The 20,178-nt window shown below is 40.9% G+C and overlaps 1 protein-coding gene across 3 annotated transcripts in view; it reads left to right on the forward strand.

The window, feature by feature from the left end:
- PHKB (phosphorylase kinase regulatory subunit beta) overlaps positions 1-20,178 on the forward strand; it is a 240,225-nt gene that overhangs the window by 70,689 nt on the left and 149,358 nt on the right. For all 3 annotated transcript variants that reach the window (NM_001363837.1, NM_001031835.3, NM_000293.3), the window contains one exon: positions 15,446-15,561. In NM_001363837.1, the coding sequence (NP_001350766.1) occupies positions 15,446-15,561 (116 nt within the window). The remainder of the gene's footprint in view (positions 1-15,445; positions 15,562-20,178) is intronic.

Consider the following 20,178-nt stretch of genomic DNA (forward strand, 5'->3'; position numbering starts at 1 on the left):
GAGAGAAGACATTTGTAACACAGGTATCTGACACAAGATATGTATCTAGAATAAAGAACTATTACTTATCAATTTAAAAAACCCTCAATTTAAAAAACAGGAAATTAGGACCCCTAATTAGGGAAATTCAAATTTAAACCCCGATCATATGCCACTTCACATGCATCAGACTTGTGTAACAAGAGTTAGATAACCCTACTTATCAGTGAAGGATACAAAGCATTGATAATTCTCTGCCCTCTTGAGGTGGGCATAAGTTCTTGTAACTAATTTGGAGAGCAATTTGACAATATCTAGTAAAATTGAAGGTGCACTTGGTGTACAATTCACCAGTTCAGCGTTTAGATGATACCCTAGTGTTATGGTGTTATGGGATCCTTGGGGTGTTGCTTTTCTGGCCAGAAACCTCTGTGGCCAGTGGCACCTTTGCCCAAGTTTTGCTCCAGTCCACTGGGCTCATTCCACTTGGCTCATGCTACCAGGCTGGATCCCATGCCTGCCAAGGATGAGCCAGATGTGGAGTGGTGAGGGGTGTATGAGCAAGTGTAGGGTCTGGACACTGCACAGTCAAATATGCTAGCTGCTGCAACGGAGTGGGCAGCTCTAGGTGTTGGCATGGGTGCCAGCTCTCTGTGAGGCTGCAGCTGGACCAGGTGCACTGTAAGCAGCTTCCACAGCTGGCACTGGGGAATGCAGTGGCACCCAGAAGCTTGGAGATGTCAGGAACCACAGGACCCCAAAGAGGGAGTCAGCCCTGGCTCAGGGAGCTCCCACGTCTGGGCTCCCCAAAGGGCCACAATGTGGCAGGCAAGGGGCACGTTTCAGCCCTATTTGTGTTACAGCTCTTTTAGCCCCACCATTTTATGGGTCCCATGTTCTTGTCCTGTGATTGGGAAGAGTGAGGTATGCAGTCAAGTGGAGGGTGAGCAAAATGAAGAAGAGCTTTATTGAGCAGTGGAACAACTTAGAGGAGACCTGCAGTGGGTAGCTTCTTTCTGCAGCCAGGTTATCCTGATAAGTGTTCAACTCCTAGCAGGGAGGAGACCATGGAGTGGGAAGCTCCCCTCTGCAAGCAGGTCATCCCATCATCTCTGCAGCTCTCAGCAGAGAGGAGTTTCTGGAGTGGGTTGCTCCTCTCTGCACCTGGTTGTCCTGACATCTGCAGTTTTTAGCAGAGAGGAAGCCTTGGAGTAGGTAGCTCCTCTCTGCAGCTAGTCATCCCGATGCCTGCTCAGCTCTGGCTGAGCCTGGGGCTTTTATGGGCCTCAGGGGTGAGGAAGTGCATGCCCATTGGTCCATAGGCAGGCTCAAAAAAGGCACCACACGTTCTCACCCCAGTCCACAGGACTGGCAGTCCAGCCGCCAGCCTTCAGGCCCTCCCTGGCCTGAAAGTGGGGCCTCACCAGGAACCTGCCCCCTTCTGCCCAGGAACCTGTCTGCCTCCTGCCTGTTCATGGCACCTAGGCTGTAGGTGCCAAGAGGGCCTGCAGGCCAGTGCCAGGCCGCCCTCAACCCTGCCTTGGCTTCCCTTAGGTGTTCATCAATGCCCAGAGTCTGGAGGGGGCCGAGGCTGCAGGGGGCTGGCATGTTTGCACCGCCCTGAGCATGTGCACACTTGGCTGGGCTGTTATAGCATCTGGGCTCAACCCTGACTTTGCTCCAAGATCATAGTGGGTACTGACAGCAGGGAGAAGCCAAGCATCAGTAGCAGGTACTTCCAAGCCTGCGAGGGCAGGGAGGGGGTTTCTTGGGCCCCCAAGAGTATAGAGATGCCTGGGTCTGCAGCCACAGTTTGGGCAGCCACAGCTGTGCCAGAGGTTCAGGGCTCCTGCCTGCTCTTGGCACCCCCAAGAGCACAGAGAGACCTGGGTCCACAGCCACAACTTGGGCAGCTGCAGCTGCACCAGGGAGGGCGGGGCTCCTGCCTGCTCTGTGGAGCAGGAGGCCTGGGCCCACAGCCACAACTTGGGCGGCTGCAGCTGCACCCAGGATGGTGGGGCTCCCCCCTCCTCCCAGGCCCCAAGAGTACAGAGATACCCTGGTCTTCAGCTGTGGCTTGGGCGGCTGCAGTGGCATCTGGGGAGCTCCCACCCAAGCTCGGAAGGGGTGGGACTCCCTCCTGTTCCTGGCTCCCGCCAACCCCACAGAGCATGCAGCCCGGGTGTACCTACCTGCTGCAGCTGGCGTGATAACAGCAGCCACTCCAGATGGCCCACCGCTGCCATCACTAGCTTAGAGCTTTCTTACTAGGGTACCACAGACAGGTTACAGATTTGCCATGGTAATGAGTCTTCATCCTAAAGGTGTTGGTGGGGCCTGGACTTAGCCATACCTCACTGGCCGATAACCTCTGGCTGCCAGGAGTCTTGTCCAGTTACTTCAATGTATGTATAGAAATAATATTTCTATATGTACCATGATGTCAAAATGATTGGGAAGCTCTTTCCTAGAGACATACTAAAATTTCATTGCAGCACTGTTGCATTAAAAAACTGTTATGGTAGGATTTTAATTCATAAATGTAGAAATAAAGAGGGAAATAGAAAATAACCTTTAGGCAAGAACTGGTGATAATTAGTGTAAACAAGATCCACTGATAAATGCTGAAATTAGTACATAAAATTATGAGGAGAAACAGGATTTATACATAGTTCCAAAGCATTTCCCTCAAGATATTTATTAACTACCAAGGGAAAGGTGATAACATTACAAAGTAGGAGCTACTATAACTAAGTGATCATGGTTGTTACCACCAGCAAGAAGATACATTGACATCATGAATCCTGTGCTATGGTGCTTTAAGAAAGTCACAACATTATTTCTATGATATTCTTGCCAAAAATGCATTACTTTTGTCCATTCATGGGAAAGTATTAGACAAATCAAAATTGAGGGACATGTGGCAGAATAACATAAAATTTATTGAGGTCATAAGAAATGAGGAATGAGTGAGGAAGAAATAAGCTAAGGAGAAATGACAGTGAAATACAAGGAGGACTAAAATTACTTCACTTTGGGTATCAGGGAGAGAGTTTTTGAAGTAAATCAAGGTTACGCAAAGCTTTGTTGTTCCTGAGCAGTTACTCACTGCAGGTAGGGCTCGGTTACACTAAAGAGTGTGTGAAATCATAAAAACCTTAAGCATTTAGCTGTACAAGACACAGGGGAGAAGACCTTTTAATCAGCACTTACCTTCATTAAGACAAATTAACTGACAAATATCTTTTTGAAACTTGGGGAAGAGAAATCCTGAAATGTTTCTAGTGGTAAAGGAACAGTAAATGGAAATCATTTGTATAGTACCCAGTATTACTAATTTAACATGTATAACAAAAACTTCCTTTAAACTTAGCATTTGTGCTTGGTCTGAATTGTTTTACTTTAGTGAACATTCAGTGGTCATTTATAAACTCAGTATCTCCTTATCTAATTTCTCCATAATAAATTTCTTGTTAACAAATTATATTACCATAGATGTTTTTAGGAGCCTATCCCTCAGAATTGAGGAGTTACTATACAGTTTGGTTATACTGATTTATTATACTGATTGTTTTTAGTAACATATGGAGAGAGAGTTAAATAATTGTTTGCTTTTGGAGTTGCAGTGAACTAAAACTGTATTTTATACAATATAAGTCCCGCTCTATCTCTAACTTGTTTCTTAGCACACACACCTTAAATTTTATAAAGTCCATTAAGATTTTGATTTTTAGTGCAATACTTACTCTAATTCAATCTCAAACGTTATTGTTGTATTTCATTTAACTCTGTTTTGAAAGTATTTCAGATATTTGCATTATTGTCTTAATGATACTCTTAAAACATACTGAAAACACCACAGATGACATTTGGATCTGACTGTTCTAGCTCTTTCCAATTAGAAATATTTCTCTACATACTTTTTGCAGAAGTGGATATCAAAGGTACATGCTTTCAAAGCAAGGTAACAGAAATTAGAAATTGGTATGAAGATGCAACAATGGGCTAACAACATTGAGTACATAAACTAGAGTCAGGATTGAAAATAATACACAGAATACCCTGACCATGGAAATGGTTATGATATTTATTTATTTATTTGGAGATGGAGTTTCACTCTTGTTGCCCAGGCTGGAGTGCAGTGGCGCGATCTCGGCTCATAGCAACCTCCGGCTCCCGTGTTCAAGCGATTCTCCTGTCTCAGCCTCCCAAGTAGCTGGGATTACAGTCATGTGCCATCACACCCAGCTAATTTTGTATTTTTAGTAGAGACAGAGTTTCTCCATGTTGGTCAGGCTGGTCTCGAACTTCTGACCTCAGGTGATCCGCCCACCTCAGCCTCCCAAAGTGCTGGGATTACAGGCGTGAGCCACCGCACCCGGCCGATCTTTATTTTTATATTCTAGCTAGCAATGTTATACTTCCTCAAGAGGCCAGTTCTTACTAAATCATAGTATTATTTGTGTGAGAACTACAAGAAGTTTACATTTCTGAGCTCAGAGAAGTTATACAGGACCACAGTTTCTTATGTGAAAAAACATTTAGAACCAAATATGTTTTCGATTTCAAAACTTGCTGGATTTAAATAAAAGTAATACTGTTTTGATACCTTTTATTATATAGTAACCCCAGCATGGCTTAGGGCAGAATCTGCACATTAATATTTTTGCAGTAAGATGTATACATATTCACACAAAGTGAGGAACATAAGGCAGCTAATCTCATCTCAGTTCTGGGTTTTGCTGACAAATGAGTTAAGAAAAAACAATTGGATTTCAGAACTTGTGGCATTTTAGAATTGCAAATAAGAGATGGTAGACCTGTGTACTAGTTAGAGGTGAGAAAAAAAACACACTTGGAACAAAAATTAAGAGCCGTGGTCTTGGCTCTAAGTATAGTGAGAGTTAGGAGAAATTAGAGACTTCACTAAGAAAAGTTTTGAACGGGGGCTGAAGGAAGATTCATAGAAAAGTGTTTTCATTTGGAAATGAGCAAGACTAATGGCCATCCAGCCCAATTAGAACCCAGGTTCCTGTCGGAGGATTGTGGAATAAATAGAGTTCTGTGGGGACAGGGTGGGAAGATTATATAGAGGATTTGAATGTCAAATATGAGAATTGTAATACTCTGTCAGAATTCACGAAACTTTTTTGATTAAAGAAGCAATGTGAAAAATAGCAGCCTTCCTGTGGAATGAATATGGGGTTAAAAGGAAACATAGTAGTGTCAAAAGACAAAATTGCAACAATTCAAAAGATCTAATTGACTTATTAGTGACTCATGAATCAGTGGCGTTTCTTCCAAAGATCTAGCAAAGGCTCTCCAATGAATTATGCTTAAGAGGTTGGCTTCATAGGCAGAAAAGGGCTGAAGAAAGCAGAAACAGGGAACAAAAAGCTGATTGGTTGTTTCAAAGTTACTTTCCTTATAGGATTAAAGTAGAAAGGACTTCTTTATCATGCCAGCTCAGGGAAACTGGGCCCCTTCTGATTGGCTGCTGTGAATCTCCTGCTTTTGTTTGTTCGTTTTTCTTCAGAAAACTGGCCCTTTTCAATGTTCAGTTTGACTGTGTGTCACCTAGCATAAGTGACTCCATTCTGGTTTGGTCTGGTTTCTTGGGCCTACTGCAGGAGCTCAGTCCAAATCAATGTCCTCATATAAATTTTATTGAACAGTAGTCAAAGTTGATCTCAAGATTTCTAGACTGAGAGCCTGGAAAAGAGTGGTCTGATGGGGAAAAAAGCAGAATTGAAAAGTGCTTCTTGGTGGAAGGGTTTAGAACATACTGTTTAATGGGAAATTCAAGTGGAAATATTTCAAAGCAAAGGTACAGGTTATATGTATTCAGGATTAGAATGGAAAAATCACTGAATTGTAAGCAGGTATTGTAAACATACGTGGAAAATTCTCTCTCTCTCTCTCTCTCTCTCTCTCTCTTTTTAAGTTGAGGCAAGGTCTCTCTCTGTCATCCAGGCTGGAGTGCAGTGGCGTGATCACAGCTCACTGTCCTCAGCCTCCCAGGCTCAAGCAATCTTCCCACCTCAGCCTCCCGAGCAGCTGGGACCACAAGCATATGTTACCATGCCCAGCTAATTTTTTAATTTTTTTTGTACAGACAGTGTCTTGCTATGTTGCCTAGGCTGGTCTTGAACTTCTGGGCTCAAGTTAACTGGCTGCCTCAGCCTCCCGAAGTGCTAGGATTGTAGGCATGAGACACTGCACCTAGCCACAAAGCTTTAAACTTAGAGACCTGAAAAACTATCAAGTATTTTCTGTTGTGTTATAAAATCTAAATAACTTTGAAGACCATGAAATAGCTAACATCATGAAAGTGAGCAGGTTGTTTACACAGGAAGGTTTCCCTTAAGGTATATAGGCAAGGTAGCCCGAGTTGGGTAAGCTGAGGGGACCCTGATCAATATTCAAAATTTAAAAAAGTTTACTGTGGGATGTACTGTTCTACCCTTGGGTGAAGAGATTCTGGAATAGGTGCATGTTTTGGAGAAATCTAGAAATAACTCACACTCTCTTCTATTTCTGTGAGGCCTTAACACCCTGGTTGCTCTTTCCTTCACTGAAATGAGGGAGGTATGCTTGCCCCTGAGGGCAAATGTCTCTGTTGGGGAGGAGAATGTAAACATCATGGATTCAGGTGCCCCAGCCATTCGTCCTTCATGAGATAACCTGGGTAGACTTATCCCTGATCAACTCTTTATCTCTGTGTTTGTTGACTCTGAGCATAGAGATTTCCTGGAGGCCCTAGAAAACAAGGAAGCACCATTTTGAGAGGCTGTGGTTTCCTCTGCTTTGATTTCTCCACCAGTTCCCTCCCATGTGCTTTCTCCCTTCCTGTAGTTTCTGAAAGTTTCTGGTCTACTGATGGAATCTCACCTTGGCTTTCTGTGTTATTGTTTCCTTCTTAAAAGTATATACATTATATTAATTATGTGTGTGTAGGATGAAGGTGAGACATGTGTATTACCATTTCAGAAGGGTTTTGTGTTGAAGGGTAGGCAGATGCATGTATTCAGTTTGCCATATTGAACCTAACACGATGACTAAATTTCAAACCCTGTAATCAGAACCTGTAGCCCACATAAGAAATTGTCCTTATTAAAATAAAGGAACGTTATTAACTAAGAATTCACCATAATCTTGGTTTTCCATAGTTTCTTTTGAGAGTATAAATTTTGTCACATGTCTGAAATCTTTACATGGAAGCTCTGACTCCTGGCCCTTTGGTTGGAGCCCACTTCCACCTGTGAGCTTTGAGTTTATAACAATGTACCTGTAGCTATACAAAAGGCAGGAGGAAGATTGGATTTCAGGATAATGAATAAACTCAGAACTTAAGGTTGACCCAACATGGAACTGGCACTTTACAGAACAGATAAGTACTTTTTTTTTAATATCTAAAGTTTTAGACTTATTTAACATTTCATAGGGACATTTCAGATTACACATATTATATCTAGTATAAAAACAATGTTTTATACTTGTCTTAGTGCTTAAGATGTATAGTCCTTATAAACAATAATAGATACATTGTTGAAGAATGTATCTATTGGATACATTCCATTGGAGCATTGAGAAGATTTAAATTTTATTTCTATACTGTATATTAGACTCTAAGCTTAAGTGAGCTTAATATTAGAAAAAATATATAATAGTATTCATAGCAATATAATAATTGTTGCAGGAAGTCAGGGACCCCGAACGGAGGGACTGGCTGGAGCCACGGCAGAGGAACATAAATTGTGAAGATTTCATGGGCATTTATCACTTCCCAAATAATACTTCCATAATTTCTTACATCAGTCTTTATTTTAATCTCTTAATCCTGTTGTCTTTGTAAGCTGAGGACGTATGTCACGTCAGGACCACTGTGATGATTGTGTTAGCTGTACAAATTGATTGTAAAATGTGTGTTTGAACAATGTGAAATCAGTGCACCTTGAAAAAGAACAGAATAACAGCGATTTTTAGGGAACAAGGGAAGACACCCATAAGGTCTGACTGTCTGCAGGGTCGGGCAAAAAAAGCCATATTTTACTTCTTGCAGAGAGCCTATAAACGGACGTGCAAGTAGGAGAGATATCACTAAATTCTTTTCCTAGCAAATAATATTAATATTAAGACCCTAGGAAAAGAATTGCATTCCTTGGGGAAGGTCTATAAACGGCCACTGTGGGAGTGTCTGTCTTATGTGGTTGAGATAAGGACTGAAATATGCCCTGGTCTCCTGCAGTACCCTCAGGTTTATTAGGGTGTGGAAAAACCTCCCTCCCCCCTCCCCGGTAAATTTGAGGTCAGACCAGTTCTCTGCTCTCGAACTCTGTTTTCTGTTGTTTAAAATGTTTATCAAGACAATACGTGCACAGCTGAACATAGACCCTTATCAGTAGTTCTGTTTTGCCTTTTGTCCTGTTTCCTCAGAAGCATGTGATCTTTGTTCTCCTTTTTGCCCTTTGAAGCATGTGATCTTGTGACCTACTCCCTGTTCTTGCACCACCTCCCCTTTTGAAATCCTAAATAAAACTTGCTGGTTTTGCAGCTCAAGTGGGCATCATGGTCCTACCGATATGTGATGTCACCCCTGGCGGCCCAGCTGTAAAATTCCTCTCTTTGTACTCTTTCTCTTTATTTCTCAGACTGGCCAACACTTAGGGAAAATAAAAGAACCTACATTGAAATATTGGGGACGGGTTCCCCCAATAAAATACTGGGGACAGGTTCCCCCGAGAAATAATCACACGTATTTCAGTATATTAAAAATGTGTTGGGAGACAAGTATGTATTTGGATTTCAAATGTTATCTAATTATTCTCTTTAGTATCTAATCTAAATGTCCTGTTTTTTTTTTTTTTTTTTTTTTTGGAGATAGAGTTTCACTCCTGTTGCCCAGGCTGGAGTGGCAATGGGGCGATCTTGGCTCACCACAACCTCTGCCTCCTGTGTTCAAGCGATTCTCCTGCCTCAGCCTCCCAAGTAGCTGGGATTACAGGCATACATCACCACGCCTGGCTAATTTTTATTTTTTTTTATTATACTTTAAGTTCTAGGGTACATGTGCACAACATGCAAGTTTGTCACATGTGTATACATGTACCGTGTTGGTTTGCTATACCCATTAACTCGTCATTTACATTAGGTATTTCTCCTAATGCTACCCCTTCCCCATCACACCACCACATGACAGGCCCCGGTGTGTGATGTTCCCCACCCTGTGTCCAAGTGTTCTCATTGTTCAATTCGCACCTATGAGTGAGAACATGTGGTGTTTGGTTTTCTGTCCTTGCAATAGTTTGCTGAGAATGATGGTTTCCAGCTTCATCCATGTCCCCGCAAAGGACATGAGCTCATCCTTTTTTATGGCTGCATAGTATTCCATGGTGTATATGTGCCACATTTTCTTAATCCAGTCTATCATTGATGGACATTTGGGTTGGTTCCAAGTCTTTGCTATTGTGAATAGTGCTGCAATAAACATGTATCTGCATGTGTCTTTATAGTAGCATGATTTATAATCCTTTGGGAATATACCCAGTAATGGGATGGCTGGGTCAAATGGTATTTCTAGTTCTAGATCCTTGAGGAATCACCACACTGTCTTCCACAATGGTTGAACTAGTTTATACTCCCATCAACAGTGTAAAAGTGTTCCTATTTCTGCACATCTTCTCCTGCATCTATTGTTTCCTGACTTTTTAATGATTGCCATTCTAACTGGTGTGAGGTGATATCTCATTGTGGTTTTGATTTGCATTTCTCTGACGACCAGTGATGATGAGCATTTTTTTTCATGTGTCTGTTGGCTGCATAAATGTCTTCTTTTGAAAAGTGTCTGTTCATATCCTTTGCCCACTTTTTGATGGGGTTGTTTAATTTTTTTCTTGTAAATTTAAGTTCTTTGTAGATTCTGGATATTAGCCCTTTGTCAGATGGGTAGATTGCAAAATTTTTCTCCCATTCTGTAGGTTGCCTGCTTACTCTGATGGTAGTTTCTTTTGCTGTGCAGAAGCTCTTTAGTTTAATTAGATACCATTTGTCTATTTTGGCTTTTGTTACCATTGCTTTTGGTGTTTTAGTCATTAAGTCCTTGCCCATGCCTATGTCCTGAATGGTATTGCCTAGGTTTTCCTCTAGGGTTTTTATGGTTTTGGGTCTTATATTTAAGTCTTTAATTCATCTTGAATTAATTTTCCTATAAGGTATAAGGTATAAGGAAGGGATCTAGTTTCAGCTTTCTGCGTATGGCTAGCCAGTTTTCCTAGTACCATTAAATAGGGAATCCTTTCCCCATTTCTTCTTTTTGTAAGGTTTGTCAAAGATCAGATGGTTGTAGATGTGTGGTATTATTTCTGAGGCCTCTGTTCTGTTCCAGTGGTGTCTATCTCTGTTTTGGTACCAGTACCATGCTGTTTTGGTTATTGTAGCCTTGTAGTATAGTTTGAAGTCAGGTAGCGTGATGCCTCCAGCTTCATTTTTTTTGCTTAGGATTCTCTTGGCAATGCGGGATCTTTTTTGGTTCCATATGAACTTTAAAGTACTTTTTTCCAATTCTGTGAAGAAAGTCCTTGGCAGCTTGTTAGGGATGGCATTGAATCTATGAATTACCTTGGGCAGTATGGCCGTTTTCACAATATTGATTCTTCCTATCCATGAGCATGGAATGTTCCTCCATTTATTTGTGTCCTCTTTTATTTCATTTAGCAGTGGTTTGTAGTTTTCCTTAAAGAGGTCCTTCAGATCCCTTGTAAGTTGGATTCCTGGGTATTTTATTCTCTTTGTAGAAATTGTGAATGGGAGTTTGCTCATGATTTGGCTCTCTGTTTGTCTGTTATTGGTGTATAAGAATGCTTGTGATTTTTGCACATTGATTTTGTATCCTGAGACTTTGCTGAAGTTGCTTATCAGCTTAAGGAGATTTTGGGCTGAGACAGTGGGGTTTTCTAAATATACAATCATGTCATCTGCAAACAGAGAGAATTTGACTTCCTCTTTTCCTAATTGTATATCCTTTATTTCCTTCTCTTGCCTATTTGCCCTGGCCCGAACTTCCAACATTATGTTGAATAGGAGTGGTGAGAGAGGGCATCCCTGTCTTGTGCCAGTTTTCAAAGGGAATGCTTCCAGTTTTTGCCCATTCAGTGTGATATTGGCTGTGGGTTTGTCATAAATAGCTCTTATTATTTTGAGATACATTCCATCAATACCTAGTTTATTGAGAGTTTTTAGCATGAAGGGCTGTTGGAATATTGTCAAAGGCCTTTTCTGCATCTATTGAGATAATGGTGTGGTTTTTGTCTTTGGTTCTGTTTATGTGATGGATACGTTTAATGATTCACATGTATTGAACCAGCCTTGCATCCCAGGGATGATGCCAACTTGATCGTGTTGGATAAGCTTTTTGATGTGCTGCTGGATTCAATTTGGCAGTATTTTATTGAGGATTTTTGCATCGATGTTCTTCAGGGATATTGGTCTAAAATTCTCTTTTTTTTCTTGTGTCTGCCAGGCTTTAGTATCAGGATGATGCTGGCCTCATAAAATGAGTTAGAGAGGATTCCCTCTTTCTCTATTGATTGGAATAGTTTCAGAAGGCATGGTACCAGCTGCTCCTTGTACCTCTGGTACAATTCGGCTGTGAATCCATCTGGTCCTGGACTTTTTTTGGTTGGTAGGCTATTAATTATTGCCTCAATTTCAGAGCCTATTATTGATCTATTCAGCTATTCAGCTTCTTCCTGGTTTAGTCATGGGAGGCTGTAGGTCTCCAGGAATTTATCAATTTCTTCTAGATTTTCTACTTTATTTGAATAGAGGTGTTTGTAGTATTCTCTGATGGTAGTTTGTATTTCTGTGGGATCAGTGGTGATATCCCCTTTATCATTTTTATTACATCTATTCTTACATCTATTTTTTACATCTATGTAATTATTACATCCATGTAATACATTTATTACATCTATTTTTATTACAATCTATTCTATACATTGATTCTTCTCTCTTTTCTTCTTTATTAGTCTTGCTAGTCGTCTATCAATTTTGTTGATCTTTTCAAAAAACCAGCTCCTGGATTCATTGATTTTTTGAAGGATTTTTTGTTTCTCTATCTCCTTCATTTCTGCTCTGATCTTAGTTATTTATTGCCTTCTCCTAGCTTTTGAATGTGTTTGCTCTTGCTTTTCTAGTTCTTTTAATTGTGATGTTAGGGTGTCGATTTTGGATCTTTCCCAGTTTCTCCGATAGGCATTTAGTGCTATAAATTTCCCTCTACATACTGCTTTAAGTGTGTCCCAGAGATTCTGTTACGTTGTGTCTTTGTTTTCGTTGGTTTCAAAGAACATCTTTATTTCTGCCTTCATTTCGTTATGTACCCAGTAGTCATTCAGGAGCAGGTTCTTCAGTTTCCATGTAGTTGTGCGGTTTTGAGTGAGTTTGTTGATCCTGAGTCATAAGTTGATCACACTGTGGTCTCAGAGACAGTTTGTTGTGATTGTTGTTCTTTTACATTTGCTGAGGAGTGCTTTACTTCCACGTATGTGGTCAATTTTGTAATAAGTGCGATGTGTTGCTGAGAAGAATATATATTCTGTTGATTTGGGGTGTAGAGTTCTGTAGATGTCTATTACATGCAATTGTTCCAGAGCTGAGTTCACATCCTGGATATCCTTGTTACCCTTCTGTCTTGTTGATCTGTCTAATATTGACCGTGGGGTGTTAAAGTCTCCCATTATTATTGTGTGGGAGTCTAAGTCTCTTTGTAAGTCTCTAAGGACTTGCTTTATGAATCTAGGTGCTCCTGTATTGGGTGCACATATCATATATTTAGGATAGTTAGGTGTTCTTGTTGAACTGATCCCTTTACCATTATGTAATGGCCTTCTTTGTCTCTTTTGATCTTTGTTGGTTTAAAGTCTGTTTTATCAGAGACTAGGATTGCAACCCCTGCTTTTTTTTGTTTTCCATTTGCTTGGTAGATCTTCCTCCATCCTTTTATTTTGAGCCTATGTGCGTCTCTGCATGTGAGATGGGTCTCCTGAGTACAGCATACTGATGAGTCTTGACTCTTTATCCAGTTTGCCAGTCTGTGTATTTTAATTGGGGCATTTAGCCCATTTACATTTAAGGTTAATATTGTTATGTGTGAATTTGATCCTGTCATTATGATGCTTGCTGGTTATTTTGCCTGTTAATTGATGCAGTTTCTTCCTAGCATCGATGGTCTTTCCATCTGGCATGTTTTTGGAGTGGCTTGTACTGGTTGTTCCTTTCCATGTTTAGTGCTTCCTTCAGGAGCTCTTGTAAGGCAGGCCTGGTGGTGATAAAATCTCTCAGCATTTGCTTGTCAGTAAAGGATTTTATTTCTCCTTCACTTATGAAGCTTAGTTTGGCTGGATATGTAATTCTGGGTTGAAAATTCTTTTCTTTACGAATGGCGAATATTGGCCCCCACTCTCTTCTGGCTTGTATGGTTTCTGCCGTGAGGTCTGCTGTTAGTCTGATGGGCTTCCCTTTGTGGGTAACCCGACCTTTCTCTCTGGCTGCTGTTAATATTTTTTCCTTCATTTCAACCTTGGTGAATTTGACAATTATGTGTCTTGAGGTTGCTCTTTTCGAGGAGTATCTTTGTGGTGTTCTCTGTATTTCCTGAATTTGAATGTTGGCCTCCCTTGCTAGGTTGGGGAAGTTCTCCTGGATAATATCTTGAAGCGTGTTTTCCACTTGGTTCCATTCTCTATCCCTTTCAGGTACACGAATCAAACGTAGATTTGGTCTTTTCACATAGTCCCATATTTCTTGGAGGCCTTGTTCGTTTCTTTTTACTCTTTTTTCTCTAAATATCTCTTCTCACTTCATTTCATTCATTTGATCTTCAATCACTGATACCCTTTCTTCCACTTGATCGAATTGGCTACTGAAGCTTGTGCATGTGTCACGTAGTTCTTGTGCCATGGTTTTCAGCTCCATCAGATCAGTTGAGGTCTTCTCTACACTGTTTATTCTAGTTAGCCATTCATATAATCTTTTTTCAAAGTTTTTAGCTTCCTTGCAATGGGTTCTAACATCCTCCGTTAGCTCGGATAATTTTGTTATTACCAACTTTCTGAAGCCTACTTCTTTGAACTCGTCAAAGTCATTCTCCATCCAGCTTTTTTCCGTTGCTGGTGAGGAGCTACGGTTCTTTGGAGAAGGGTCACTCCTGTTTTTAGAACTTTCAGCTTTTCTGCTCTGGTTTCTCCCCGTCTTTGTGGCTTTACCTACCTTTGGTCTTTATGATGGTGACCTACAGATGGGGTTTTGGTGTGGATGTCCTTTTCGTTGATGTCGATGCTATTCCTTTCTGTTTGTTAGTTTTCCTTCTAACAGGCCCCTCAGCTGCAGCTCTGTTGGGGTTTGCTGGAGGTCCACTCCAGACCCTGTTTCCCTGGGTATCACCAGTGGAGGCTGCAGAACAGCAAATATTGCAGAACAACAAATACTGCTGCCTGAACCTTCCTCTGGAAGCTTTGACTCAGAGGGGCACCCAGCTGTATGAGGTGTTAGTCAGCCCCTACTCGGACGTGTCTCCAAGTTAGGCTACATGGGGGTCAGGGACCCACTTGAGGAGGCAGTTTGTCTGTTCTTAGAGGGCAAACACTGTGCTGGGAGAACCACTGCCCTCTTCAGAGCTGTTGGACTGGGACGTTTAACTCTGCAGAAGTTTCAGCTGCCTTTTTTTCACCTATGCCATGCCCCCACAAGTGGAGTCTACAGAAGCAGGGGTCCTCCTTGAGCTGTGGTGGGCTCCACCTATAGCTTCCTGGCTGCTTTGTTTACCTACTCAAGCCTCCACAATGGTGGACCCCCCTCCCCCAGCCAGGCTTGCTGCCGTGCAGTTCGATCTCGGACTGCCGTTCTAACAGTGAGCAAGGCTCCATGGCCATGGGACCCGCTGAGCAAGGTGCAGGATATAATCTCCTGGTGTGCCGTTTGCCAAGACCAGTGGAAAAGCACAGTATTTAGGTGACAGTGTCCCAATTTTTCTGGTACAGTCTGTCAAGGCTTCCCTTGGCTAGGAAAGGGAAATTCCCTGACCCCTTGCACTTCCTGGGTGAAGCGATGCCCCACCCTGCTTCAGCTCGCCTTCCGTGGGCTGCATCCACTGTCCGACTATTCCCAATGAGGTGAACCGGTTATCTCAGTTGGAAATGCAGAAATCACCCGTCTTCTGTGTTGATCATGCTGGGAGCTGAAGACCGGAGCTGTTCGTATTCGGCTGTCTTGGAATGGACCCCTAATTTTTGTATTTTTTAGTAGAGATGAGTTTCTGCATGTTGGTCATGCTGGTCTCAAACTCCCAACCTCATGTAATCCCTCCCCTCAGCCTCCCAAATTGCTGGGATTACAGGCATGAGCCACCACACCCGGCCTATGTCCTGTTATTGAGTATGTCCTTATGTTTCATTTCTTTTTCTTTTAGGTCTCTTTTATTCAAAACCTTGTATTTTGTGTGGAAAGAGTTTACCGTGTGCCTGACTTTGGTGTCTGGGAAAGAGGAAGCAAATATAATAATGGCAGCACAGAGCTACATTCGAGGTAATTTGCTGATTTCTGAGGTTTTTTTTTTAAATTAAATGTATGGAATTTGAATATGAAGAAATACTGAAGCATTAGATTGGAACTGTGATTCATATGTTAATTTGTAGCAATTTTTTTCTACCTATGATGCAGATGGAAGTCACTTAAAATTAACACAAAAGAGCCCATCCTCAGTACCCATAAACAGATGCAAGAAAGAAGTAGGTGTCTTTCCCAACCTCCCAAGGTGTCAGTACATGCATGTCAGCCCTCATCATTAATCCACAGCTTGGCCTTTCTGCTCAACCAAGTCATTTTCTTTTTCCTCTTTGAAATTACCTCATTTGAAATGTCAAGTACATTAAAATTTTCAAACACCAGTTGTATATGCACTGAATATAAAATTTCCTTCCATGTTATAGAGCTGATTTTTATCCTGACCACGGATGCTTACACTGTTCACATAAAACTTAACATTCATTGTTACCAGTAAGGTGTGTGATCAACATCTTGAGCTGTGGTTTACTGCGTTTGAATAAGCAACAATAGCTGATAACTGATGTTAGTAGTTTATGAATTTCTTTTAATCCTTAGGGTTAAGGAAGTAGCTTTAGTGACTGATTGTACCTTTCCTAAATCCTAGTTTTATGCCTAGGAGATCATATTTTAATAACAAAATAATATAGTTCAATAAGTCCTATCCATGTTGCACTAAAAGATGTAAGAATTTAAGCTAAAAGTTATCACTGTCAGTTTGGATTATTGGGACTTAAATTAAGTAAAGAAACAGTCTAGAGGCTGGGCACGGTGGCTCACGCCTGTAATCCGGGCACTTTGGGAGGCCGAGGTGGGCAGATCATGAGGCCAGGAGTTTAAGACCAGCGTGGCCAACATGGTGAAACCCTGTCTTTACCAAAAATACAAAAAGTAGCTGGGCATGGTGGTGCGTGCCTGTAATCCCAGCAACTGGGGAGGCTGAGGCAGGAGAATGGCTTGAATCCAGGAGGTGGAGGTTGCAGTGAACCAAGATTGTGCCACTGCACTCCAGCCTGGGTGACAGAGCAAGACTCCGTCTCAAAAAAAAAAAAAAAAGAAACACTGTAGAAAACACTGGTTGAGAGGAACCCAAAGTGTTCTCTATTTTATGATAGACTAATCACACACACAAAAATAAGATGACATAAGATATTTAGTAAATCAAAAACCAGCTCCAGATCACTAGCTGTGTAACCCTCAACAAGTTATGTGACCTTTTTATGATTCAGTTTTCTCATCTGTAAAATAAAGATAATAATTTCTACTTTATGTCATTGTTATAATAATTGTTGTCATTGTTGTAATAGTATATATAAAGCATTTGAATGTGTAGCATAAGAACTAGAATGCTAGTGTACTTACACATTTAGGAACATTTTAATAAAAAATAAAAAATATTTAAATTAAAAGGACTTTCAGATTAATCCTTAACTGACGTGGAAACCTTTTTCTTTAGGTTTTGTGATTCATGTGAGGAATTTTTACAGTATAGACCAGAATAGTATCAATCAATGAAAAAGTCAGTGAAGTAGAGGAATAATTTGTGGTAAAGCTCATTTCAGACATTAAACAGATTCTGGCAAATACTAAAATTAAATAGATGATGTTATAATTCAGCCCTCATCCAAATTAAGTTCTCAACATTCCAGATTATCACTCAAATTATAAGAAATTTGATCTGATAAGATGATTTTTAAAATTTACCTTTTCAGTACATATGATTATCAGATATCTTCCTTGTTTCTTAATAAGCATTTAATATATGTCAGTCTGACCCCATTGCCATATTTTCAGCGTGAAATATTTGGAATAGAAGTTTTTCTGTTTATAAAAACTGCAGTAGGCCAGATGCAGTGGCTCACACCTGTAATCCAACACTTTGGGAGGCCGAGGCGGGCAGATCACCTGACACCGGGGGTTTGAGATTGGTCTGACCAACATGGTGACAACCTGTCTCTACTTAAAAAAAAATACAAAAATTAGCCTGGCATGGTGGCATGCGCCTGTAATCCCAGCTACTTGGGAGGCTGGGGCAGGAGACTCTCTTGAACCTGGGAGGTGGAGGTTGCAGTGAGCCGAGATCGTGCCACTGCACTCCAGCCTGGGTGACAGAATGAGACTCCATCACAAAAAGAAAGAAAAAAAAATGCTAACCTGTAGTAAACTCAGAAAGAACCTTAAATAAAAGTTACTACTGACCCTAGAAAGTGAGGATGTCAGAAGGTCCCTGGTGACAAAACAGGCTCCAACTTGTATTCCTATAACTGAGGTGGCAGTCTTTAAATTGATTCATTAAGGTTTTTATTTGAAGGCTTGAAAAATCATTATGTGATTTTTTTTTGCCATCGTTTGCATGCAAAATTAATCTTTTTGTAGTAGGCCGATTTTGTTCAAATGGATGAGAGATGAAGTTTGTCGTTTAAGTTTGGATGATGGGTTTTATACTTTATTTGACATTGATGTTCTACTTGTCCATGGTATAACACTTTAAAATTCCCCAAAAGAACTTTAACCTTAATTTTTTATTTGAAAGTTTCCAAGGTCAGGTCTTCACAAGCCTGTTTTGAATCTATCACCTCTGATGTCCAAAGGATACATTTTGAAACTGCGAGAGAGTTGAACTCCATGTGCTCACGGAGGTAGTGATGGCTGTGGTAGTGGGCGGCCAGTATCCTTCTGTGCTTAGGCCTGTGTAGTGGAATGTAGAGCTGCTACTAGCCTGGGATCAAGTCACACCTCTTAGTCTGTCTCTGCTGTAGGATACCCCAGATCTATTTGGGATTAATTGGATCTATTCTTTACTGTTTAGTGCAGTATCCTTGTTATATCCTGAAACTGTTCTCATAATTTCAGACAGCTTGAATTAATACATAGTAATACTTGCCATAAGTACTTACACTTCCCTTTGTAGTCTGACACTTTCTCTGCCGCTCTCCTTTCTCTGTGCTATACAGTCATCTGTACCAGGAGTCAGAGAGAAAACAGAGCATAATCTGAGTGTTGCCTTGGTGCTCACTAGGGCCTCAGCTGAAGTGACTGGCTCTTCCTTTCCTTGCCACACTGAGTACATCCCTTCTAAGCTGTGAATCCATTTTGTCCTGGGCTTTTGTTGGTTGGTAGGCTTTTATTGGTTATTGGCTGTTACGAGGATGATCCTGGCCTCATAAAGTGAGTTAGGGAGGAGTCCCTCTTTTCTGTTGTTTGGAATACTTTCAGAAGGAGTGGTACCAGCTCCACTTTGTACCTCTGGTAGAATTCAGGTGTGAGTCCGTCTGGTCCTGGGGTTTTTTTGGTTGGTAGGCTATTAATTACTGCCTCAATTTCAGAACTTGTTATCAGTCTATTCAGGGATTCGACTTCTTCCTGGTTTAGTCTTGGGAGGGTGTATGTGTCCAGCAATTTATCCATTTCTTCTAGATTTTCTAGTTTATTTGCGTAGAGGTGTTTATAGTATTCTCTGATGGTAATTTCTATTTCTGTGGGATCAGTGATGATATCTCCTTTATCATTTTTTATTGTGTCTATTTGATTCTTCTCTCTTTTCTTCTTTATTAGTCTTGGTAGTGGTCTATTTCGTTAATCTTTTCAAAAAACCAGCTCTTGGATTCCTTGATTTTTTTGAAGGGTTTTTTGTGTCTCTATCTCCTTCAGTTCTGCTCTGATCTTAGTTATTTCTTGTCTTCTGCTAGCTTTTGAATTTGTTTGCTCTTGCTTCTCTAGTTCTTTTAATTGTGAAGTTAGGGCGTCGATTTTAGATCTTTCCCACTTTCTCCTGTGGGCATTTGGTGCTATAAATTTTCCTCTAAACACGGCTTTAGCTGTGTCCCAGAGATTCTGGTACATTGTGTCTTTGTTCTCATTGGTTTCAAAGAACTTATTTATTTCTGCCTTCATTTTGTAATTTACCCAGTAGTCATTCAGGAGCAAGTTCTTCAGTTTCCATGTAGTTTTGTGGTTTTGAGTGAGTTTCTTAATCCTGAGTTCTAATTTGATTGCACTGTGGTTTGAGAGACAGTTTGTTATGATTGCCATTCTTTTGCATTTGCTGAGGAGTATTTTACTTCCAATTATGTGGTCAATTTTAGAATAAGTGCGATGTGGTGCTGAGAAGAATGTATATTCTGTTGATTTGGTGGGGAGAGTTTTGTAGATGTCTGTTAGGTCCACTTGGTCCAGAGCTAAGTTCAAGTCCTGAATATCCTTGTTAATTTTCTGTCTCGTTATTTGTCTAATATTGACAGTCGGGTGTTAAAGTCTTCCACTATTATTGTGTGGGAGTGTAAGTCTCTTTGTAGGTCTCTAAGGGCTTGCTTTATGAATCTGGGTGCTCCTGTATTGGGTGCACATATATATAGGATAGTTAGCTCTTCTTGTTGCATTGATCACTTTACCATTATGTAATGGCCTTCTTTGTCTTTCTTGATCTTTGTTGATTTAAAGTCTGTTTTATCAGAGACTAGGATTGCCACCCTGCTTTCTTTTTTTTCTTTCCATTTGCTTGGTAAATACTCCTCCATCCGTTTATTTTGAGCCTATGTGTCTTTGCACATGAGATGGATCTCCTGAATACAGCACACTGATGGGTCTTTACTCTTTATC

The sequence above is a fragment of the Homo sapiens genome, chromosome 16, assembly GCF_000001405.40.
Source record: "Homo sapiens chromosome 16, GRCh38.p14 Primary Assembly".
Taxonomy (NCBI): Eukaryota; Metazoa; Chordata; class Mammalia; order Primates; family Hominidae; genus Homo; species Homo sapiens.